Here is a 24,280-nt window from a genome sequence, read left to right on the forward strand (position 1 = left end):
TTACTAATGTGATTAGGTTAAAGATGTTGAGATGCAGAGATTGTTCTGGCTTACCTGAGTCACTCCTAAATATCATCACACGTGTCCTTATAAGAGGGAGGCAGAGGGAAACTTGACTGCAGAAGAGGAGAAGGAGATGCAATGACAGACATGGCTTTGAGGATGGAAGAAGGAGGCCAGGCGCGGTGGCTCACACCTGTAATCCCAGCACTTTGGGAGGCTGAGGCAGGTGGATCACTTGAGGCCAGGAGTTCAAGACCAGCCTGGCCATCATGGCAAAACCCCATCTCTACTAATAATACAAAAATTAGACAGGTAAGGTGGCCCACACCTGTAGTCCCAGCTACTCGGGAGGCTGAGGGAGGAGAATCCCTTGAACCCGGGAGGCAGAGGTTGCAGTGAGCCAAGATCGCACCACTGCACTCCAGCCTGGGGGACAGAGTGAGACTCTGTCTCAAAAAAAAAAAAAAAAAAAGAGAGAGAGATGGAGGAAGGGGCACAAACCAAGGCATCCCAGCAACCACCAGAAGCTGAGAGAGGCAAGGGAACAGATCCTCTGCCCCAAGCCTCCAGGAGAAGCCAGCTGCACCAGCGCCTCGGCTTAGCCCAGAGAGACGGGTTTTGGACTGTGGACCTACTGAACTGGAAGAGAGAAATTTGCGTTGTTTTAAGGCACTGAGTTCATGGTGATTTGTTACAGCAGCCGTAAGAAACTCGTCCAAGAGGAAAGTGTGGCTATGGCTCTTGAGAAGGACGAGCGTGTTGCAAAGTCTCTTCCCCAGAAAGGTCTTTGCAAGCTCTCCAGGGAGAAAATTATAAAAGCCTGATGTGCTTTGCAAGAGGGAAAGAACCACTTTTGCTGACCCAGAAGGTTCAAGGGGAAACCTTTGGATTAGGTTTTCAGGTGCATCCATCCAAACGGCTCCATCCTTGGCCTCGAGATCCCACTCCTCCCCTATCAGGACCCTGACTTTAGCATAGGACACAAGCCTAACCACTCAATCTCCACAGAAGCTGTACTGTCCTTCCAATCAAATCCAGGGCCTGATTTTTAGTGCCTAAAGAAATTAAGTTCCTTGGCCGGGCGCAGTGGCTCAGGCCTGTAATCCCTGCACTTTGGGAGGCCAAGGCAGGCAGATCACGAGGTCAGGAGTTCAAGACCAGCCTGGCCAACATAGTGAAACCCCATCTCTACTAAAACTATAAAAAATTAGCTGGGTGTGGTGGTGGGCGCCTGTAATCCCAGCTACTCATGAGGTGGAGGCAGGAGAATCGTTTGAACCCAGGAGGCAGAGGTTGCAGTGAGCCGAGATCGCGCCATTGTACTCCAGCCCAGGCAACACTGCGAGACTCCATCTCAAAAGAAAGAGAGAGAGAGAGAGAGAAAGAAAGAAAGAAAGAAAGAAAGAAAGAAAGAAAGAAAGAAAGAAAGAAAGAAAGAAAGAAAGAAGGAAAGAAAGAAATTAGGTTCCCTTTAAACACTGGTCTTTCACAGAATGCCCTGAGCTATCTGGTCTAGGCCAGTCATTCTCTTTCTTCAAGGTGTCCAAGGCAATGGACAAGAGCCAGCCAACCCCATAACGTGTATAATTGTCAATGCTGCCATATTGCTGAAGTGCTAGAGCTAGTGCATAACCCAGTGTGTTCCTGTCCACCTATTCCTCATCCCATTCCACCATGTGTCCGATTGTGATGCTTTAGCATGCCGGACATGATCGCTGCCCCTCTTACCTGTTGCCATGGGCTTTTGTTGCCATTTGATGAGTGATGAGTGATCCAATTTCAGAATCTCATTCTCAGGGTTTGTTTTCTAGTGAACCATTTCCTGTACAAACTGTCATAGTTCTTTGCAGAAAAATTATTTTGAAAAGAATAAACTTGTAAAAAGCAGGAGAACAGAAGTAAGACTATCTGGAAGAGAACAATCACTCTAATTAATTAAATTCTTGATATATTTCTCATTTCTAGAATAATAAACTGACATTGAATTGATACATGAAAAGCTGGTGAAAGATTCAAAACAATAAAGGTTTAGCAAAAAAATAAAGGGATGGAACAAGTTGAAAAAATACGAAAATAAACAACATAACTATATACATATATATATATATATATTTTTTTTTTTCTTTGAGACAGGATCTTGCTCTTTTGCCCAGGCTGGAGTGCAGTGGTGTGATCATGGCTCACTGCAGCCTCACCTCGGGGGCTCAAGTAATCCTCCTACCTCAGCCACCCAAGTAGCCAGACTACAGGCTCACACCACCACACCCAGCTAATTTTTCTATTTTTTGTAGAGATGAGGTTTTGCATGTTGCCCAGGCTGGTCTCAAACTCCTGAGCTCAAGCAATCCTCCCGCCTCAGCCTACCAAAGTGCTGGGATCACAGGCATGAGCCACTGCACCTGGCCGCCAAAATATTTCTTATTGAAGTAGTCATTAGTCTGTTCACCAAATATTTCTAGACCTATCTTCAGAGGACATGGTAGGTTAAACTTCCTGGATCCCTTTAGACTGGGTGGTACTCAAGAATAGGGAACAAGCTGGGCACAGTGGCTCACACCTGCAATGCCAGCACTTTGAGAGGTCAAGGCAGGAGGATGGTTTGAGCCCAGGAGTTTGAAACCAGCCTGGGCAACACGGTGAGACTCCATCTCTACAAATAAGAAAAAAAAGTTTAAAAAATTAGCCAGGTGGGCCAGGCACGGTGGTTCACGCCTGTAATCCCAGCACTTTGGGAGGCCAAGGTGGGCGGATCACGAGGTCAGGAGATCGAGACCATCCTGGCTAACATAGTGAAACCCCGTCTCTACTAAAAATACAAAAAATTAGTTGGACGTGGTGGCGGGCGCCTGTAGTCCCAGCTACTCGGGAGGCTGAGGCAGGAGAATGGCATGAACCCGGGAGGCGGAGCTTGCAGTGAGCCGAGATCACGCCACTGCACTCTAGCCTGGGTGACAGAGCAAGACTCCGTCTCAAAAAAAAAAAAAAAATTAGCCAGGTGGGCCGGGCGTGGAGGCGCACACCTGTAATTTCAGCACTTTGGGAGGCCAAGGTGGGCAGATCACCTGAGGTCAGGAGTTCGAGACCAGCCTGGCCAACATGGTGAAACCCTGACTTTACTAAAATACAAAAATTAGCCGGGCATGGTGGCACATGCCTGTAATCCCAGCTACTCATGAGGCTGAGGCAAGAGAATTGCTTGAACCTGGAAGGTGGAGGTTGCAGTGAGCTGAGACTGTGCCACTGCACTCCAGCCTGGGTGACAGAGCGAGACTCTGTCTCCAAAAAAAAAATTAGCCAGGTGTGGTAGCACTTGCCTATAGTCCCAGCTACTCAGGAGACTGAGGTAGGAAGGTCACTTAAGCCCAGGAGTTTGAGGCTGCAGTGAGCCATGACTGCACCACTGCATTCCAGCCTGGGTGACAGACCAGTCTCACACACACACACACAAAATATGTGTCACTTCAGGGCTGGTGCATTTAAATGCCAGGGTGGGTTCCTCTGGAGCTTTTTTTTTTTTTTTTCCCCAGCCTCAGTGACTCCTGACACTCTGGATGATTTCTGCTGTATCAGCCTGAGTCCCTTGATTAGGGCCCTTTTGCCACAAGAATAGAACTTCCCCATGATGGATGTAGCATGAACAAAACAAAGCCACAAAACTACTATTTTAAGGCACTGAGATTTTAGAATTGCTACTGCAGCATGTCCTAGCATGTCCTGACTGATACAGGAACCACATGAAGATTCATGAGGAAATATGCTTTCTGAATGTAAAATATTTTTATGAGAAAATTAAATCACACTAGACCCTTAGCTTACAACAAATCAAACATTCCTTAAGATGCTACTACAGAGACAAAATCAAAATCAGTCGACTAAAATCTTCAACAGCCATCCTATTCACTTCAAATTTCTTTCCTTTTTTTTTTTTTTTTTTTTGTTTTTGAGACAGGGTCTCACTCTGGTACCCAGGCTACAGTGCAGTGGTGCAATCTTGGCTCACTGCAGACTCGACCTCCTTGGCTCAAACAATCCTCCCACCTCAGCCTCCCGAGTAGCTGGGATGACAGGTGCATCCCACCACACTGGCTAATTTTTGTAATTTTTTTTTGTAGAGACAGGGTTTCACCATGTTGTCCAGGCTGGGTTCAAGTGATCTGGCCACCTCAGTCTCCCAAAGAGTGAGTCAATCTGTTTGACCCGGGCATTCGGTTCCCTTATTGGAGGAGCCTGGGTTATATCCCCACCTGTGGCAGTCAGAATTCTGAAGATGCCCCCTTCAATCCTGCAGGATTTCCATTGTTGGTTATTCAACCAAACACTAACCTAGGTGCTGCCATGAAAACAAATACAAAACAAATATGCCACTCCAGGAGGATAGAGCGGGGTCGGCCCCTCCCAGCACCACAGGAACTGATCATGGAAGAGGAGGCTCCACAAAGAAAACCAGTTGCTGGCTGTGCATGGTGGCTCATGCCTGCAATCCCAGCACTTTGGGAGGGCAAGGCCAGGAGTTCAATACCAAGTCTAGGCAACATAGCAAGACCCCATATATATCCATATATATGTGTATGTATATATTAGCCAGGCATGGAGGTGCATGCCTGTAGTCCTAGCAACTCAAGAGGCTGAGTTGAGGCCCTGCGCGATGGCTCGTGCCTGTAATCCCAGCACTTTGGGAGGCCAAGGCGGGCGGATCACGAGGTCAGGCATTCTAGGTCATCCTGGCCAACATAGTGAAATCCCGTCTCTACCAAAAATACAAAAATTAGCTGGGCATGGTGGCGCGTGCCTGTAATCCCAGCTACTCGGGCGGCTAAGGCAGGAGAATCACTTGAATCAGGGAGTCGGAGGTTGCAGTGAGCCGAGATGGCCCCACTGCACTCCAGCCTGGACGACAGAGCAAACTCCATCTCAAAAAAAAAAAAAAAAATGAGGCTGAGGTGAGAGGATGGCTTGAGAACAAGAGTTCAAGGACTGCACCCTACTCTCCAGCCTGGGCAACGAAGACCATGTCTCTTAAAAAAAAAAAAGAAAAAGGAAAAAGAAAGAAAGAGAGAAAGAAAACCAGGTGCTGTTTCCAGAAGGAGCAGGAAAGCACTGGGCAGGGTTGACAGTGTCGAAGCTGAAAATGCATTCCCCATGGCCCAGCACCCCGACACAGCCAGGCTCTCACCCAAGCATCGGACCCATTCAAGGAGGGGCCTTGGCCCCCTTTGTTTGTGCCCAGGGCCATGCCCCTACAAGGCGCCAGTTGTTTCCTGTGCTCCAGGAATCCCTCCAGCTCTCCCCCAACTCTTCTCGCCATCTTCGGCTTCTTCAGTTTTCACCCCACTACTCAGGTGTCCAGAAAATTCCCTACACCTGGCCAGCTCCCGGGGCCTGACAGGGTGCAGGTTCCGTGTAAACTTTCAGCAATCATGGAGCAGAATCCCTGGAAGTGGCGGCAGGAGGAGAAGCAGGTCAGCCAAGCTGTTCCGGGCAGGGTCCCCTGACGTCACACATCCCATCCTTGACACAGTTCCGTCAGCAGCCAATAGGAACCCCATTTCTCAGAAGAAAAAAATCAAGGCATGAGGGAGATAAATCCTTCCCCAAGGTCAGCACATTCATTCTTCCCCTTCCAAGCGACGGAAACCCAATTCAACCTGGCGTAAGAAAAAGCGGAGGCCAGTCGCGGTGGCTCACGCCTGTAATCCCAGCACTTTGGGAGGCCAAGGCGGGTGGATCACCTGAGGTCAGGAGTTTCAGACCAGCGTGGCCAACATGGTGAAACCCCGTTTCTACTAAAACTAAAAAAAAAATTAGCTGGGCGTGGTGGCACGCGCCTGTAATCCCACCTACTCGGGAGGCTGAAGCAGGAGAATCGCTTGAACCTGGAAGGCGGATGTTGCAGTGAGCTGAGTTCGTGCCATTGCACCCCAGCCTGGACAACAAGGACAAAACTCCGTCGGAAAGGAAAGGAAAGGGGAAAGGGGAAATGGCGGAGAGGGGAGTGTGGATTCAGGCTACCTGGAGGTCAGCGGCTGACTTCAGGCCCCCATCGGTTCAGGCACTGGGGAAGTCTTCGTTCCCCTTCTGCCTCCCTCTTTGCCTCTGTGTTTTCCTCTCTGTCTCTGTCTCCCACCTCCTCCTCCTCTCAGGATTTATTCCCTCCCATTGCAGATGGATACAACAGGAAACGCAGCCTGTGGCAAAGACAGAAACCTGGTTCTCTTTGGGGCAACAAAATGCCCAGATGATAAATGACATTTCTCAAATTCCTTTGCAACCAGTGATACATAAGCACAAGTATTCTGTAGTACATCTGGGAAGGTTGCCTGAAGGGAGCTGATACCGCTGGAAGAAGAAACTCTTAGGCCCTTACCTACCTTTCCTCCTTCCTGTTGCCTAAAACATAAGTGCAATGGCTGGAGCTTTGGCAGCTATTTTGGGCCATGAGGTGAGATGGAATGTCTCAGTGAGTCACATGAGACCTGGACTGGCCACCATCAGGCTTCTTTTACATTAAAAATAATAATACATCTTTACCTGTTTAAGCCACTTTTATTTGGAGCTTTCTGTTGTGTGCAGTTAAACTTAACCCCATGACATGGGGCCACCAGCAGCTCCAGCTTCACCTTCCCAACTCAGAAACCCCAGGGTCAGGACCACTGCTCTTCTCACTTCACACCAAAGTGTCAGGCAAGGCGAAGCGCTGAACTGCACGGCTGGGCCGTGACTGGAGGAACAGCCGAAACATGGCTCAGGCGCATTCCCGGGGCATTTTATGTTACTTGTTGGTTTGCTTTTGAGGAGAGGCAGCTGGAGTGGAAACCCATGAATGGTGGGAGAAGATAACTCCCCAAGAGAAGCAGGTGGGATGGACATAAGAAATGATGGGTGCCTACGGCAGCCAGCATGTGGTGAACCCATTTGTGGGGCTCACAGGCCGGGAGCTCTGCCCTGCTCGGCAGTGTCTCGGTCTTACTGGAGGGCTTCCCTGGCCATCCTGTCAGGTGCCCCCATAGGTGCATCTCACCTCTCCCAGGGAGGTCCATCGGGAGGCCTCCATGTAGGGGGTCAAGAAGACAAAGGTGTGGAGGGCTCCAAGGTCAACTCTAGGGAGCACATCTCAAGCCAGCACTGTCAACTGCTTGCAGGAGGCCAAACAGACCTGGGGTCAAAGCCCACCTCAGCCACTTCAGCTGTGTGGCCTTGGATGAGCTGCTTCACCTCTCTGAGCCAGCACGCCAGTTTCCTCATTTCTTCCTCTGGGTCTGTCTGTACTCTCTCCCAGCTCTCCACACACCTGGAATTCCCTCTTCTTCCTCTCCTGTCATCTACCCTCCCCAAGAGGCCTACCTCCACAGCTCCAACCACACCCAGCCTGGGACCTAGCCTAGCGAGCCACTGAGCCCTAGGATGTGTCAACACTCCCCTTGATTCCGGGGCACTTCACATGGTCTAGGAAACAATTACACTTTCAGATTTTCCAAACGAGGCCAGGTGCAGTGACTCACGCCTGTACTCCCAGCACTTTGGAAGGCTGAGGTGGGCAGATCACTTGAGGTCAGGCGTTCAAGACCAGCCTGGCCAACATGGTGAAACCCCGTCTCTACTTAAAAAAAAAAAATTAGTCAGGCGTGGTGGCAGGCACCTGTAATCCCAGCTACTCAGGAGGCTGAGGCAAGAGAATCACTTGAACCTGAGAGGCAGAAGTTGCAGTGAGCCAAGATCATGCCACTGCACTCCAGCCTGAGCACAGAGCAAGACTCTGTCTAAAAAAAAAAAAAAGGAAAAAGAAAGTAGAGGTCAGTGTGCTTGTTGGAAGAGAAAGAAGGGTAGACAAGGAAGGGAGGAAGCCCCCAGCTTCCTTGCTAAAACACATAGATGGACAAAATCCTGCTGGAGCCCAGAGGGAACCACTCCCACTGCCAGGAGGGGCTGGGGAAGCCACCAGAGAGACCAAGCTGAGGCTTGAGGTACAACTAGGAACTCTCTAGAATTTCTGGACCTCCACTGGGTGGAGAAACAGGGGAAAGACAGTTCAGGCGGAAGGTGTGAGGCATGGGCGGGAGAAAACACGGCATGCCTAGGCTTTCGTGGAGGACTGGTGCAGCCCGAGAGGAGGCTGTTTGGAGAACTGAGGGGACAGGGAAAGGGGTGAGGACTTGGAAAGGACTTCACGAGCCGGGCCAAGGCCTCGGGACTTTCTCCCATTGATTTCAGGGAACACCCAGTAGGTGCTCACTAAGCCTTGGTTGAAGGAATGACTTGATTGATTGTTGAACCCGACTCGGAGGAGGGGACCCCAAGTCCCACCACTGAGGGGTAGGAGCTCTGGGACCCCATCCCCAGCCCAGGCCCCCAAGCAGCTGCTCCTCCCCCTCCCACAGACTCCAGCCTGGATGTTTTTCTCTGCGCTTGATGAAGTTAAAATAAGCCCTCTCTGGGGTGAATCGCAGGCGTTCAAATTGGATTGGCACAAGGACGTCGAGCAGTTGGTGGCAGGAGCCAGGGGACCGGAGAGCAGGTTTTCGCTGGAGGGGACATGAGCTTTATTTCCCTCTTGGTTGCTGATGAGGAAGCAGCTGTCCTTGCCTGATTATTTTTACCTCGAGTCACAGCCGCTGCCACCGAGCCCCACCTGCGCCCGCCTGCCTGCCAGGGCCAGGTGAGGAGCCCACCGCCCTGGCCCGGCTCTGCTGCAAGCTGCGAGCTCCACCTACCGCCACCTCCACTCAGGACCCAGCAGCAGCCCCGGCCTCAGGCCCAGACCCTTCCACACCACAAAGTGCTCACTGTCCAGAAGAGAGAGACCCAGAGCAGCCTTAAGAATATTTGAGACAAAAAAAAAAAAAAAGGAAAGAAAAAAATGACCAATTCCGCTCTTCTAACACAATAACTAATTCCTTCTTTTATTTTAGTTCAGACTTCTAGTTTGAAAAATTAAATGTAAATATCCCTTTACCGTTAACCAAGAACTCCAACTCTGTCATGTTGTTCTACTCTTGAAAAGCCCAAGAGGTGAGTGTCATTAGCTTCATTTTAAAGTTGAGGAACTGATGGAAGGCCGAGGTGGGCAGATCACTTGAGGTCAGGAGTTCGAGACCAGGCTGGCCAACATGACAAAACCCTGGCTCTAGTAAAGATACGAAAATTAGCCAGGCACAGTAGCGTGTGCCTGTAATCCCTAGCTACTTGGGAGGCTGAGGCAGGAGAATCACTTAAGCCTGAGAGGCGGAGGTTGCAGTGAACCAAGATCGCACGATTGCACTCCAGCCTAGGCAACAGAGTGAGACTCTGTCTCAAAAAATAAAATAAAAATAAACTTGAGGGAACAGAGACTCACAGGGGAAGTGACTTGGCTTAAATCACACAATAAGAGAGTGGGAGAAAAGAAATCTGAACCCCAGTTTGTCTGACTCCAAATCTTGTGCACCATTCACTGTATTTTTAAGTCTTTGTCCATGTATCAGTTAGGAATGCTGTCAGCTTCAAGTAACAACAACAGTGCATTAAATAAATGGGGGCTTCTTTTCCTCACATACCAAAAAAAATGTTGGTAGGTGGTCTCCAGATTGGGGAGCAGCTCAGTGATGTCACAGACTCAGGGTCTTTCAATCATGCTGCTCCACTATCCTTTTTGACATACTAACTGCCTCATGGACACAGAAAAGCTACTGCAGCTCCAGCCATCTCACATGCATTCAAGGCAGAAGGAAGAGGGAAAGGGGATAGTGAAAGCTATGACACACTCTCTCTCTCTCTCTGTTTCTTTTTTTTTTTTCTGAGACAGAGTCTTGCTGTGTCATCCAGGCTGGAGTGCAGTAGCACCATCACAGCTTACTGCAGCCTCCACCTCCTAGGCTCAAGGAATCCTCCCACCTCAACCTCCCAAGTAACTGGAACTACAGGCATGTGCCACCATACCTTGCAAATTTTTTTTATTTTTTTGTAAAGATGGGGTCTTGCTATGTTGCTCAGGCTGGTCTCAAACTCCTGGGCTCAAGCAACCCTCCTGCCTTGGCCTCCCAAAGTGCTGAGACTACAGGGTTACAGGCATGAGCCGCTGTGCCCAGCCAACAACCCCTTTTCACAGGAAAGCAAAATAGTTCCCTAAATTCCCCCAGGAGACTTTGGTTTACATCTCAGTGGTAACATGACTACCCACAACTGCAAGGGAGGCTGAGAAAGCAAGCGTTTCTGGACAAAGAAGAAGGGCGGTGAGGACAAATGCTGGGCAGTCACCAACAGTATCTGCCAGGCTGCATCAAGTTGTACTTAGTTGCAATTATACAACACATAATTTTTGTTTTCTACTTTTCTCTTTTACTATTAGATCATTTGCAGTTTCCTTATCACTATGTCGTTTCTATAATTCTCATTAATGGCTTAGTACTTCTTCAAGTGGATGGTTCTGATGTATTTGTTGGACATTTATGTTGTTTCCGATTTTTAAAATATTATACATAATGTTATGATGAATATCTTCATGCAGCATGTATTTTCCATGGAGCACAATTATTTGCGTCAAGAATTTTTTTTTTTTTTTTTGAGATGGAGTTTCACTCTTGTTGCCCAGGCTGGAGTATAATGGCACGATCTTGGCTCACTGCAACCTCCGCCTCCCAGGTTCAAGCGATTCTCCTGCCTCAGCCTCCTGAGTAGCTGGGATTACAGGCATGCACCACCACACCCGGCTAATTTTGTATTATTATTTTTTTTTTAAATAAAAACGGGGTTCCTCCATGTTGGTCAGGCTGGTCTTGAACTCCTGACCTCAGGTGACCTGCCCACCTTGCTCTCCCAAAGTGCTGGGATTACAGGCGTGAGCTACTGAGCCCAGCTGGGTCAAGGATTTTAACATTTGTTGGTGCTCTTAATACATTACTCTCTTGATTTCCAAGAGTGTTGTGCTATTTTCCATGTAACTCTACTTCAGTGTATTGAGTTCACCACAACTGTGCCAGCACAGAGTTTTATGATTTTAAAAAGGTTTTCACCAAATTCGTATCATAAAATGTTACCATCTTATGATGGTTTACTTTAAGAAGAAGGAGGGGAATCAGGGGAAGATATATTGGTGTTCTGTGTGCTATTCTTGCAGCTTTTCTCTGGGTTTGATAATTTTCAAATTAAAAATTGGGAGACAAGAGGTCTGTCTCTGCCTAGGGCAGAGTCTGGATCATTTCCCAGGTTCCTGGGCCAGCAAAACATGAGCAGGGCCTGTTTCAATAAAATGCTATTGTTTTTATTCCTATGATGAAAACTAAGGAAGAAGGTTTTTCCCCATGTATTTTTCACTTTATATTTGTGTTTCACTTCGTACTTTTTTACTTTATTTTTGTATTGGTGAAGTATTTGTTCACTTCTTTATTTGGTGAAATATTTGTTTGTTACCTGGAGTAAGAGATTCACTTTTTCAGGCATGGCCATGCTGAGACTGGTATCAACTCTGGGCATGTTACAACTCAACTCTTTCATTTGATTGCTTCCTGGGAGGAAGGTGGGGTAGGGAATAGGATCCCAAGTCACAGATGACAGAACCGGAGCTCAAGAAGTTCATGTAGCTACTAAGAGGCAGGGCCTCCAACTCCAAGTTTTGTGGGGTTTTTTTTTCTTTTTCTTTTTCTTTTTTTTTTTTTTTTTTCTGAGACAGAGTCTTGCTCTGTCATCCAGGCTGGAGTACAGTGGCACGATCTCGGCTCACTGCAACCTTCACCTCCCGGGTTCAAGAGATTCTTCTGCCTCAGCCTCCCGAGTAGCTGGGATTACAGGTGCCCACCACCACACCTGGCTAATTTTTGTATTTTTAGTGGAGATGGGGTTTCACCATGTTGGCCAGGCTGGTCTTGAACTCATGACCTTAGGTGATCTGCCCACCTCAGCCTCCCAAACAAGTTCAGTGTTTCTCTTCCACAGTATTGCTTGCATTAGTTTGTTCTCACACTGCGATAAAGAAATACCTGAGACTGGGTGATTATAAAGAAAAAAGGTTTAGGCTGGGTGCATTGGTTCATACCTGTAATCCTAGCACTTTGGGAGGCCAAGGCAGAAGGATCATTTGAGCTCAGGAGTTTAAGACCAGCCTGGGCAACATGGCAAAACCCCATCTCTACAAATATATATATATATATATATATATATATATATTAGTATATATTTATATATATATTATATATATGATATTTATATATAATAATATAATATATATATTTATATATATTAGACAGGTGTGGTGGCATGCACCTGTAGTCCCAGCTACTTGGGAGGCTGAGGTGGGAGGATTGCTTGAGCCTGGGAGGTCGAGGCTGCAGTGAGCCATGTTTGTACCACTGCACTCCAGCCTGGGTGACAGAGTGGGGAAAAAATAAAAAAGAAAAGGAAAAAAGGAAAGAGGTTTAATTGGCTCACAGTTCCACAGGCCGTACAGAAAACATGGCAGCTTCTCCTTCTGGGGAGGCCTCAGGAAGCTTTTACTCATGGCAGAGGGCAAATCGGAAGCAAGTGTTTTACATGGCAGAGGCAGGACCAAGAAAGAGAGAGGGGGGAAGTGCTAGATACTTTTTTTTGTTTTGTTTTGTTTTTGAGATGAAGTTTCGCTCTTGTCGCCCAGGTTGCAGTGCAGTGGCGCAAGCTCAGCTCACTGCAACCTCAGCCTCCCAGGTTCGAGCAATTCTCCTGCCTCAGCCTCCTGAGTAGCTGGGATTACAGGTGCCTGCCACCACACCTGTATTTTTAGTAGAGACGGAGTTTCACCATGTTGGACAGGCTGGTCTTGAACTCCTAACCTCAGGTAATCCACCCACTTTGGCCTCCCAAAGTGCTGGGATTACAGGCGTGAGCCACCACACCCAGCCAGTGCTGGATACTTTTAAACAACCAGATCTCATGAGAAGTCCGTCACAAGAACAGCACCAAAGGGATTGTGCTAAATCATTTATGAAGGATCCGCCCCCATGATCTAGTCACCTTCCACCCGGCCCCACTTCCAACGCTATGAATCACAGTTTGACAGGAGATTTGGGTGGGGCACAGAGCTTTATTGAGATATAATTCACACATAACTTGTCCATTTAAAGTGTACGGCTCAATGTTTTTACTGCATTCACAGCTGGGCAACCAACCATCAGCATAATCAACTTTAGAACATTTCCATCACCTGAAAGAGGTGATGTACCCCAGCAGTTACTCAGTCACATCAGGTAGAGGTGAAAAAATATACAGAGAAAAAGATGGAGTCTGGCTGTGTCACCCCGGCTGGACTACAGTGGCTCACTGCAGCCTCAAACTCCCGGGCTCAAGCAATCCTCCCATCTCATCCTCCCAAATTGCTGGGATTATAGGCATGAGCCACCACACCCCCCTGAAAATATTTTTAAGTTTTAAGAAAAGAGATGAAAGAGATGGGTTGGACGGGGCTGCATGAGGAAAGCAGAGGAGACTTCGGCTGTGCCATGGCCTTGCTATGTGGCCACAGGTCCCTTCCCTTCTCTTCTCTTCTCTGGTTCTTGGTTTTCTCCTCCTAATACAAATAGGTATGTATGTATGTATTCATTTTGAGACTGAGCCTTGTTCTGTCACCCAGGCTGGAGTGTGATGGCATGATCTTGGCTCACTGCAACCTCCGCCTCCCAGGTTCTCCTGCCTCAGCCTCCCCAGCAGCTGGGATTACAGGCACGCGCCACCACAACCAGCTAATTTTTGTATTTTTAGTAGAGACAGGGTTCCGCCATGTTGGCCAGGATGGTCTCAAACACGTGACCTCAGGTGATCCATCCACCTCGGCCTCCCAAAGTGATGGGGTTACAGACGTGAGTCATCGCGCCCGGCCAAATATGTATTTACTGAGCACCTGCTGTGTGCCAGGCTCCAGGCCAGGCATGTCACAGATCATCTGAAACCAAGAGCAGAGATGTGACTTATTCAGGTCCCTATGCTGGTTGTTGGCAGAGAAGGGCCTGGAATGGGGGATGGGGGTAGGCAGAGGTTCTGACTGCCAGCTCAAGGCCACTGCACCAGCTGCGTCCACGTTTTACTTCCGGAGCTGCCCCAGTGACAAGTGGGGACAGGTGGGGACAGGTGGGGGTGGGCGGGAGGGGCATCTCTTTTCTCCCAGGCTGAGGAGGGGCCTGCCGCAGGTAGGCACTAAATAGTTGTTTCGCCCTCCAGTGGCCACAAGCAGCAGTGCAGGTGTCTGGCCTTGGGGGTCCATGAGGCAGAGTCCCTTCCCACTGTCCCCAGCACCACCACCCTCAAACACACACGCAAGGCATCTGTCCGGGTATGGTATGACTAGGTCTGTTGGAGCATTCCAAAGCGCTTACTTTGTCAGGTGTAACCTGGGTGCTGGGGGCAGGCGGGTGGACAAGTTCCTGACATTTGTGGAGATCAGGGAACTCCTGAGCCAATTTAAGTGGAGGTCAGGGAAAGCATCCTAGAAACCTGAAGGATAAGTGGAAATGAACCAGAAAAGACCTGGGGGCAGGTCTGCCTATTCCTAAGCAGAGGGAATGGTGCACGCAGAGGCCTGGGGATTTCACTCTGGCTAGAAGGTAAGGGGAAGAGGCACAGTGAGGGAGGAGCCACGGCTGGGGTAGATTGGGTGAGCCGTGAGAGGAAGGGTGGACTTTCTCCTGGAGGCACTAGGGATCCACAGAGGGATTTTGAGCAGAGGAGAGACAAAATCAGACAGAAATGTTGTTATTATTATTATTATTATTATTATTATTATTATTATTATTATTTTAATGTAAGCTCAATAGACGGAAATTTTAGGAAGATCAGCCTGACTGCTGTGTGGGAGAGGGCTTGGATCAGGCCAGAGAGGAGGCTGTGCCAGTGCTGGTTCTGGGCCCATCCTGGATACTCGAGGCCCAAAGTTTGTAGGGGTATGAGAGAGGGGAAGGGATCCCACTTTGTCTACAGAGCTCAAGACAGGCACCCTCAGAGAGTAATTACAGTGACCCCAACACTCACAAATCTCTCTCACAGCCATGCTTTATGTCCCTGAGAGAAAGAGGTGATTCTCAACATTCTGTAGAAGAAGAAACAGAGTGGAGAGAGCTGCCTGGGTCACATAAAAGCTGGCTGATGGCCAAGCCTCGATTCTGGGGGGATCAGGGTGACCCAAAAGTGAAAACATCCCAGTGGCTGGTTCTTCCTTCCAAAATTCCTGGCCCTGGGCTATGAGGGGGTTGGCTGAGGGGCCAGGAGTGAGGACCCAATGTCCTCAGGCCACCCTCGAGGCTCCCTTGGGTCCTGGCAGACCTCAGGCTCCCCACCCCCTGTACCCAGGCAATGAGCCCGAGGTCCGCAGTGGCTATCGCCTACCCACAGCCTGCAGGCTTTGTCCTTGGAAACAAGCAGCCTGTCAAAGCTGCCCGCTGTAAAGTGGATAGATGGCTCTTGGCTGCCAACTGGACAATGCCCAGGCTCTGTGGAGGGGAGATTAGGCCAGCCGTGGCCCAAACCAGTCCCAACTGCTCCGGGGCCTCAAATCAGGGTCCATGGATGCCCTGCCCCTCCATGGTACTTGACCATCTTCAGGAGTGACTCCTGGAAACTGTGATCCCCTGGAAGGGAGAGAGTTGGGCTGTGGGCGCCAGGGCAGGGGCATCGCCAAAGATAGGAAGGTCGTTGCTTAAGATACAGAGAGAGATTTGGGGTAGGACAGGAAGGGCACGGTGAGGAGGGCCAGAAGGTACACAAGAAGACTGGTAGTGTTGGCATTCGGAGGCTGACCTGCAGCCCACCCCTTCCTTGCTTCGTGACCTTGGGCCAGTCCTTTCTCCTCACTGGGCGCAGTTTACACATGCGTAAAATGGGCTCCTAAGAATCCCTGCCTTGAGTGAGATGGTGCAAGTGTGGGAAGGCCCAGCCAGGGCCAAGCAGAGCGAGGCTTCATCTTGGGCCTCTCCTTCCTGCACTTCTCACTGGCTCTGGAAACTGGGACTGGTTGGGAAGTGGGCAGGTCGCAAACAGGAGAGAACCAAGTCCTGCCCACGTTTTGCTGGACCAAGAACCCGGGAAATGCTCCGAGCTCTGACCCAGGCAGAGGCCTCTTGTCTCCCAATTTTTAATTTGAAAATTATCAAACCCAGAGAAAAGCTGAAAGAATAGCACATGGAACACCAATATATCTTCCTTTGATATATATTGATTCCCCCCCTTCTTAAAATAAACCATCATAAGACCAAGACCCTGTCTCTCTCTATATATATATAATAAAAGTAAAATAAAAATTGTTGCCAGCAGGCTTTTTTTAGGGGGGAGGACAGAGTCTCGCTGTGTCACCCAGGCTGGAATGCAGTGGGATGGTCATGGCTCACTGCATTCTCAACTTTCCAGGCTCAAGCGATCCTCACACTGCAGCCTCCCAAGTAGCTGGGACTCCAGGTGTGCACCACCACACCCAGCTAATTTTTAAATTTTTGTACAGACAGAGCAGGGTCTCCCAGTGTTGCCCAGGTTGGTCTCAAACTCCTGGCCTCAAACTATCCTCCCATCTCAGCCTCCCAAAGTGCTATGACTACAGGCATGAGCCATTGCACCCGGCCTGGCAGGCTACCTTTTAAGTGAGTTTTGACAAGAATGCTAAGTGGACTGTGTGCCAGGCACCATGTATTAGCTACGGGCTTGGTACATGTTAAGTCAAAGTCACTTAAATCTCACAGCAACTCCATGAGTTATGCACTATTCATCATCCACACATTACAGATGAGGAAACTGGCTTGGAGAAATTAGGTGTCATGCCTTAGGTCAGAGTCAACATGAACTTGGATGAACTTGGATGGATCTATCTGCCCCCAAAGCCTGAGCCCTGGGGTCATTCAGTCTAACCTCCCTCCTAACCAGGCATCCCTGCTACTGAGACCAGGAAGGTATGCCCACAGTCCCTACTCCACACTTGCATGGAGGATCTTTGCCTCTGCATCCCCCCAACCCCTCAGCCTCCCTCTGCAGCCCTGGCCCTGGCTCTGCCCCTATTCCCTTCCCCCAGACAGGCCCTCTCTGCCATCCCTGCAGTACCTTTAGAATGGCCTGGATGAAGATCCAGAAAGCCAGGTTCAAGGCCCGGCTCTGCCTCCGGCCACTGGCCTAACCCGGGGTGAGAGCCTTCAGTTCTCCTCTGGAAAATGGGTACGCCTGCCCCCAGCCCTTCCTCGCAGCAGGTGGAAGGTACAGGAGAAGCGTCCTGTAGGGAGCCGGCTCAGGGCAGGCAGTAGGCCAGGCACTGAGCGCTCCCTCCTCCACGACCATCCCGGCCTCCGAGAGGCCTGGGAAGCCCCAAGACCCTTCAGCTTCCGCTAGTTTGCTTTGGATCCAAGTCTCACAGGTGGCCCCTTCTAATCGGGTGACTTTAACCAATGTGTTTGGGGGAGGTAGTGACAACAGGCCCGGGGCGAGGGACTGAAGGTCTCCTCCCACCCACCTGGAGGCAGGTCTCTGTCTGGCTGGGCCGGGTGGGGGGCCCAAGAGGGCGGGGTGGGGAGCGGAAAGGGGCGTGGCCGAGGGGCGGGGTCTCCCGGGCCGAGGGGCGGGATCTCCTGGTATCTGCCAGAGCCCGCCGCTGCCTCCCCGACTTCAGTCCCCGCAGATGCCTCGCAGACGGTGAACGGCCACAGGCGCCAGGCCAGCCATAGCGGGTGAGGAACTGGAGCTGGGAACAGGGGAGGGACCAGCGGATGAAGGGGAGGCCCCTGACTCAGGCCCATTGGCGCCTCGCGGAGGAGGGACGCGCAGTGGTGGGCAAACTTCGCATCTCCCTCTCGGGCCTCAACGAGTGTTTGGAGAGCAAGAAAAGTGGGCGCCAGGGGGCTTGAGGGCGCGAATCCAGGCAGACGTGAACGAGGGAGTGCTTTTCAGAATCCAAAACGCGGGAGCCTCCCAGTCCTCCGGTGAGGGGCGTGTTGGATTTTCGTGCTGTCTGGAAAAGGGAAAAGGGGTGAATGATCACTGGTGATGGCTCAGATGCCGTCACCAGGTGGCATGAGGCCAGGTGTCAGGACACCGTGTTTTCTCAGGCACATTTGTGTAAAGCCAGGGCTGGAGCAGAGACCCAGGAGGCTCTTCCCTGCCTGCAGAGCCCCCCAGGTTGACGGGAGTGACCCCAGATCACCCAGGGTTAGGGTATCCCCGCTGAGCACAGCGTCTGGCTGTGGCACACCCACCAGCCGGAACCACAAGCTGAACCTGGAGGTGGTACTACTGAGAGACTGGGAGGCAGTCCAGGCAGGAGGGATGGCATGGTCACAGGTCCAGAGGAGGGAAACTCAGAAATGGACGCACCTTGGGGAGCAGGGGAAAGGTGGCTGCACGGAGCAGCGGTGGACAGGTGAGGCCAGAGAACTCGGCAGAGGCCTGATGAAGCAGAACCTTGGCGGAGAACCTCAAGGAACACAAAGCCCACCTGGACCTGAGCTTCCCCCACCCGCTGCAGGGACCCTGAGCTCTGTTTCGCCCCTCTCTGGCCAGCGACTGCTGCTGCCTCCCCCTCTCCCAGCTCTCCAGGGCGACAGTGTTTCCCTGCTTCGGTCCTGAAGGGGCTCCTGGAGACCATCTTTTGTGCAAGTAAATGTCGTCCCTACTAGGTGGGCCACCCCATCCTGGGCTTCCAGCCCACTGGTTGGTTCCCAGCTCAGTGGGGTCTGGGAGTCAAACAAAGGGCAAACGGACCCTGCAGAAGTCCAAGGGCGAAGCAAGGCAGGATGCCCAGCTGCTTTCCTGCGACTTTTTTTTCCTCAGTCCAAGTTGGCCTGCCTGTGACCCCTGCTGTCTGTCACCTGCTCCGTTGGATCCAGGATGGCACCGTGGTGCTACTGTTTCCTCTGCCTCCTGGTACCTTCACTTCTGGGAGGGCAGTGCCTGGGAGGAAGTCAAGGGGACTCACAGCTTCAAGGGTTCCAAGTGGCCATCCTTACCTCATAAGGTCACTGCAAATGTTATCCAAGATAAGTCCTGGCACAGACGGAATAAAAGCACTCACTAAGGGTGACCCCTCTTACTCATCAGCCTGTTTACTCCTCACACAGGGAAAAGGCTCAGGGCAGCAAAGGGCCCTCCCGAGATCACACTCTGAGTGGTGGGATTTGAATCCAGGTCTGACTGCAGAGTCTGCAGCTTCCACTGAATGCCCCCCTCCCACCCACCCCCAGAGTAGGCATTCAACAACTGCAAGTGTGAGGGGAGGGTTGTCCCAGCCCCCACCTGTCTTCTTCTCTCCCAGATCAGGAGTCTCTCTGGGACCCCCTCCAACTCCCCAGGTGAATCAAGGAACCCTTGGGCCCCAGGTTGGTATGAGGGATCCCCCCAGGGAGGGTCCCAGTCCCCCAGCTAAGCAAGTCTGTGATCCAAGGGGTGCACTGGCCTAGAATGCAAAGGAGGGGAAGAGTAACATTTAGTTCCACCCCCACCATACCAGGCCCTGCGAGGAACGCTTCACTGGTTTCCGTCTCATTCCTGCCATTGCGCAGATGACGAAAAGAGCTCTGCAAGAGGACAGGACTCAGCAGGCCATAGACATGGGCGGGTTCAGCCCCATCCAGCCCGAATGACTCCAAGCCCAGTGTCCTTGGCTCCGCCCAGCCCTGGAAGAGTCAGATGCCCACAAAATGCACCCCCCACCGTCTCTCTTATCGTTTTTAGCCCCCGTGGCCGCCGGCGAGGTGGTGAAGACTGCAGGTGGGGTGTGCAAGTTCTCTGGACAGCGACTGAGCTGGTGGCAGGCCCAAGAGTCCTGCGAGCAGCAGTTTGGCCACTTGGCACTGCAGCCCCCTGATGGGGTTCTTGCTTCACGGCTGCGCGATCCGGTCTGGGTGGGCCAAAGAGAGGCCCCTCTGCGGAGACCCCCACAGAGGCGTGAGTGTGGGCCCCTGGGAAATGGGAGCAAGGGGCAGAGGCTCTGGTGACCTTCAGATATAGGAGCCCACAGTGACAATATTTGCAGAATGAGCCGGGAGTAAGACCCCATTGCATCTCCAGGTTCCTTTGCCCTGGACTGGGCGTCGGGGCTTGACTCTTGGGCAGGGGAACTCTAGCCCCCATTTCCTCCTTCCCGAGGTGGGGAGGCATCCCAAAGCCTGGAAGGACCCCACCGCTGAGCCAAAGGGCAGGGGCAGGACCATGTGCACAGGTGAGGAAACTGAGGTCGCAGCCCACGTGTCCCTGCAGGTGCGCGCACCACCGCCGTGCTGGTGTTCGACGAGAGGACGGCTGACCGGGCGGCGCGGCTGCGGAGCCCTCTGCCTGAGCTGGCAGCGCTGACCGCGTGTACTCACGTGCAGTGGGACTGTGCCTCGCCCGACCCCGCAGCGCTCTTCTCCGTTGCCGCGCCCGCGCTGCCCAACGCGCTGCAGCTGCGCGCCTTCGCCGAGCCGGGGGGCGTCGTGCGCGCTGCGCTGGTGGTGCGTGGGCAGCACGCGCCCTTCCTCGCAGCCTTCCGCGCCGACGGCCGCTGGCACCATGTGTGCGCCACGTGGGAGCAGCGGGGCGGGCGCTGGGCGCTGTTCTCCGATGGGAGGCGGCGCGCTGGGGCGCGGGGGCTGGGCGCCGGCCACCCGGTGCCGTCCGGCGGCATCCTGGTGCTGGGCCAGGATCAGGACTCTCTGGGCGGTGGCTTCTCGGTGCGTCACGCCCTCAGCGGCAACCTCACCGACTTCCACCTGTGGGCGCGGGCGCTGAGCCCCGCTCAGCTGCACCGGGCACGGGCCTGCGCGCCGCCCTCAGAGGGCCTGCTCTTCCGCTGGGACCCGGGCGCCCTGGACGTCACGCCCTCGCTGCTGCCCACTGTGTGGGTGCGCCTTCTCTGTCCCGGTACGACCCGCCCCGCCCCGGCCCCACCCCATGGCCCCGAATCCTTCCCTTCCGACCCTGGAACTCGACCCACCCCTTGCCAACCAAGCCACGCCTAGCTCTGGCCACGCCCTCTCCAGGCCGCAGTGCCTGCAAGCTCCAGCATAAACCTGGTCCCAGCAGCCTGGGGGTCTGCGCTCGTCCCCCGGCCCCCTTACCCCCACCCCGAGCTGGCAACAGTGTCCCTCTCTCAGGTTTCACATTGCCACCTAACCCCGGGGCCGTGCGTCCTGGCTCGCCAGGGTCCCCTAGGGAGCCCTGACAGCTCCCCTGCCCCTGCCAGTGCCCTCCGAGGAGTGCCCTACGTGGAACCCGGGACCTCGCAGTGAGGGCTCTGAGCTCTGCCTGGAGCCGCAGCCCTTCCTCTGCTGCTACCGGACAGGTGCGCCCTGGCTGTACCCCTGGGCTCTGCTGAAGGGAAAGCCGGTGTGGACCGGAGTAGACTGAGAGGGGGTGAGCTGCTGGCAAAGTCTGGGAATTCAGAATAAACTCAGAGCTTCAAGGTCTCCATGGAGTCTAGGCCACAGAGCAGTGGGTCCAGACGGACCTAAGGGTGAATCGAAATTGTGTGACCTTGGGCAAGCTCTTTTGCCATTCTGTGCCTCAGTTTCCCCATCTAGAACACCGTGTGTAAGACTCTGGACACACAGCCATCAAGGTGCTCTTCCTTCCCTGGGCAGCACGTGGTGGGTGGAGGTCACTGAACAGGCTGGCATCTCTGGGCAGGGGTATTGCCCGGGGCCTAGCCTGGCATCCACTCCTTTGCAGAGCCCTATCGTCGGCTGCAGGATGCCCAGTCGTGGCCTGGCCAGGATGTTATCAGCCGAGTCAATGCCTTGGCCAACGACATTGTGGTGAGCTCCCTCTCAGGGGCTGGAAAGCCTGGGGGCTCCATGGGTCACCTCGCTGCACCTCAGTTTCCTCCCTTGTAAAGGGGACACCCACCTGGTGTGTCTGCAGGAATAAAGGCCATTCAGGCTCCCTATTCTGTAGCCCCTGAGAGTTGGCGGCTTGTGACAAGTTTAATGGGTGCCCACCAAGAAGACCCTGGCAAAGCCCAAGTGTGGCCCTTGGGGGGATCCCCTCATAACAACCAGACCCAGAGTCAGTGGCTCCTCTGTCCACAGCTCCTCCCGGACCCCCTCTCCGAAGTCCATGGGGCCCTGTCCCCAGCGGAGGCCTCCAGCTTCCTGGGCCTTCTGGAGCATGTCCTGGCGATGGAGATGGCTCCCCTGGGGCCGGCCGCACTGCTGGCTGTTGTCCGCTTCCTGAAGAGGGTGGTGGCCCTCGGGGCTGGGGACCCAGAGCTGTTGTTGACAGGCCCCTGGGAGCAGCTGAGCCAAGGCGTTGTATCTGTGGCCAGCCTGGTCCTGGAGGAGCAGGTGGCTGACACATGGCTCTCCCTCCGTGAAGTGAGGCTGGCAGGGCTGGGTGGGGCAGGGGCCTGGGCTATGGTTCCAGCCTAGCCACCAGCTGGTTGTGTAGCTGTGGGGGAGTCAGCATCTAGCTATGGGCTCCATCTCTGCGTCTATCCTGAAAAGCTTCTCTTTTGTCTATTTGATAAGTTGAACTTCCACAAACAATTGCACTTGAGGCTGGGCATGGTGGCTCACGCCCATAATCCCAGCACTTTGGGAGGTTGAGGCGGGTGGATCACTTGAGGTCAGGAGTTCGAGACTAGCCTGGCCAACATAATGAAACCCTGTCTCTACTAAAAATACAAAATTAGCCAGGCCTGGTAGCGGGCACCTGTAATCCCAGCTACTCAAGAGGCTGATGCAGGAGAATCACTTAAACCCAGGGGGCGGAGGTTGCAGTGAGCTGAGATCACACCACTGCACTCCAGCCTGGGTGACAGAGTGAGACTCTGTCTCAAAAAAAAAAAAAAATTGCACTTTAACAATAGCTTCTGTAGTTAAATGAAGTGATTAAGAACCACCAGTCAGTAAGAGCCTCCACCATCTCCAAGAACCTGCTGACCACCTTAAGTGGGGGATCTATGCCAAGTGGACAGTCCACCTTGTCTGCCTAAACAGCCCAGACACTCTGGACAACATGAGAGGTGCTATCCAGATGGAGAGGCTGTTGGAAACCTTGTCCTGGTGGAAGTGGCTGTCGGCCTGGGAGTGATCAGCCCAGAGCAGGGAGGGAACGAGAATCATGAACAGTGCCTGCAAATTATCTGGGGTTGAAGGAGCAAACCTGGTCCCCCTGTGGGCCTCAGAGGACAGAACTGGGACTAGGACATGGGGGTAGGGGAAGACGGCATAACACAGGAGGCTGGTTCTATGGAATGATTCACCATGGGTAGTGAGCTCCCCGTCCTGGGAAGTGTGCAAGCCCATAGTTGATTAGGGATCCGAGGCACTGCAGTAGACTGAGGAAAGCCAGACTGAAGCTCAGTTTTCTTCCCTGGGGAATAGGGATGATCACGCCAGCCTTGCTAAGGCAATGGAGAGGCGTTAGGGATGAACAGTGTGACTTGCCCAGCACAGAGTAGGTGCCCCATGAATGCAGGTTCCTCTCCTCCCTCCCCTGCTCTCACCACCCCCATCCATGGCTTTCCTTTTGGAATCTCAGTGTTGAGCACCCATTACAGGTCTAGCACTGAGCCACAGCAAAGGGGTAGGCATGGCCCAGCCTTCGGAGTGTGCCCTGGTTGGCAAACAGGAGGATGGGGTGGCTTGGGAGATAGAATTGGATAGGTCGAAGGAGGCTGGGGCAGGCAGGGCTTCAAATGTCAACCTGAGGACCCAGGACTTGATCCTAGAGTCCTTAAAGAGCCACGGAGGGTCTGGAGAGGGCAGGACCACCTCCCAGATCATGGAGCATTTATCCCAGCGCTCAGGGCAGGCGGCAGTGGGGTGCAGAGTGTGACAGAGAGCTGAGATGCAGCGTCCTCCCAGGTGATTGGTGGGCCTATGGCCCTGGTGGCGAGTGTGCAGCGCCTGGCACCCCTGCTGAGCACCTCAATGACCTCAGAGCGGCCCCGAATGCGCATCCAGCACCGCCATGCTGGTGAGCCTGCACCCACCTGCCCACACGGCTGGACTCAGACCTCCCTCCTCAGCCCTGGTGACTGGGAGCTGTCTGAACTTCCACAGACACTCCATTCTATTTCCTGCCTTTGCCCATGCTGTGCCCTGCATCCAGAATGCCCTCTCTCCCTCGATCTCCTAGCAAACACCTATACATCCTTCAGAACCCTGTGTGGGCCTCACTCCCTCTAGGAAGCCTTCCTGTTTTAGCTCTCTCCTCCTCTGAGAGACAGTTCCTCCCGCCTCTGTTACCCCAGAACCTTGAACATGTCTTTCATTGCATTTCTGGTAATTACATAATGGAATTATCTCCCTCTATGGGACACTCCTTGAGTGGTAAGGCTGTTTCTGAGCCATCTCAGCATCTTGGGGCCAAGCCCAAGTACACACTCCGTGAATGTTTG

General features: G+C 52.6%; 1 protein-coding gene and 1 long non-coding RNA gene across 11 annotated transcripts in view, besides 4 other annotated features; one reads left to right on the top strand and one right to left on the bottom strand.

The window, feature by feature from the left end:
• Positions 1-6,030: 6,030 nt before the first annotated feature.
• Positions 6,031-20,774, bottom strand: LOC105376270 (uncharacterized). 7 transcript variants are annotated; one of them, XR_007061770.1, is made up of 6 exons: positions 19,406-20,774; positions 18,771-18,945; positions 17,017-17,914; positions 14,965-15,560; positions 14,313-14,430; positions 13,008-13,882 (listed from the first exon to the last, which is right to left on the bottom strand). It is a non-coding gene; the product is annotated as an uncharacterized LOC105376270 (long non-coding RNA). The 7 variants fall into 7 exon arrangements; XR_007061766.1 differs by having other exon boundaries at positions 17,017-18,945; XR_007061769.1 differs by having other exon boundaries at positions 14,965-17,914; positions 18,771-18,920; positions 19,406-20,183.
• Positions 6,959-7,459: an enhancer, noted in NCBI's record as "H3K4me1 hESC enhancer chr9:127202115-127202615 (GRCh37/hg19 assembly coordinates)". NCBI's record gives its function as "activates a minimal SCP1, AML or CMV promoter by ChIP-STARR-seq in naive H9 embryonic stem cells {active_cell/tissue: H9 hESC(naive)}" and the evidence as "EXISTENCE:reporter gene assay evidence [ECO:0000049][PMID:30033119]".
• Positions 17,199-17,723: an enhancer, noted in NCBI's record as "H3K4me1 hESC enhancer chr9:127212355-127212879 (GRCh37/hg19 assembly coordinates)". NCBI's record gives its function as "activates a minimal SCP1, AML or CMV promoter by ChIP-STARR-seq in primed H9 embryonic stem cells {active_cell/tissue: H9 hESC(primed)}" and the evidence as "EXISTENCE:reporter gene assay evidence [ECO:0000049][PMID:30033119]".
• ADGRD2 (adhesion G protein-coupled receptor D2) overlaps positions 17,574-24,280 on the top strand; it is a 28,130-nt gene continuing 21,423 nt past the window's right edge. The window contains exons 1-10 of one of the 4 annotated variants that reach the window (NM_001395425.1): positions 17,574-17,633; positions 18,428-18,558; positions 18,733-18,825; positions 19,214-19,277; positions 19,633-19,845; positions 20,158-20,799; positions 21,122-21,220; positions 21,607-21,692; positions 21,966-22,250; positions 23,745-23,856. In NM_001395425.1, coding sequence (NP_001382354.1) covers positions 18,790-18,825; positions 19,214-19,277; positions 19,633-19,845; positions 20,158-20,799; positions 21,122-21,220; positions 21,607-21,692; positions 21,966-22,250; positions 23,745-23,856 — 1,537 coding nt within the window. In that variant the 5' untranslated portion in view covers positions 17,574-17,633; positions 18,428-18,558; positions 18,733-18,789. Of the gene's footprint in view, positions 17,634-18,288; positions 18,826-19,213; positions 19,278-19,632; positions 19,846-20,157; positions 20,800-21,121; positions 21,221-21,606; positions 21,693-21,965; positions 22,468-23,744; positions 23,857-24,280 lie in introns of those variants that run through there. The other 3 variants (XM_047423337.1, XM_047423338.1, XM_047423339.1) reach the window with 3 other exon arrangements.
• Positions 17,724-18,248: an enhancer, noted in NCBI's record as "H3K4me1 hESC enhancer chr9:127212880-127213404 (GRCh37/hg19 assembly coordinates)". NCBI's record gives its function as "activates a minimal SCP1, AML or CMV promoter by ChIP-STARR-seq in primed H9 embryonic stem cells {active_cell/tissue: H9 hESC(primed)}" and the evidence as "EXISTENCE:reporter gene assay evidence [ECO:0000049][PMID:30033119]".
• Positions 18,249-18,773: an enhancer, noted in NCBI's record as "H3K4me1 hESC enhancer chr9:127213405-127213929 (GRCh37/hg19 assembly coordinates)". NCBI's record gives its function as "activates a minimal SCP1, AML or CMV promoter by ChIP-STARR-seq in primed H9 embryonic stem cells {active_cell/tissue: H9 hESC(primed)}" and the evidence as "EXISTENCE:reporter gene assay evidence [ECO:0000049][PMID:30033119]".

This window comes from Homo sapiens, chromosome 9, assembly GCF_000001405.40.
Source record: "Homo sapiens chromosome 9, GRCh38.p14 Primary Assembly".
NCBI classification, from domain to species: domain Eukaryota; kingdom Metazoa; phylum Chordata; class Mammalia; order Primates; family Hominidae; genus Homo; species Homo sapiens.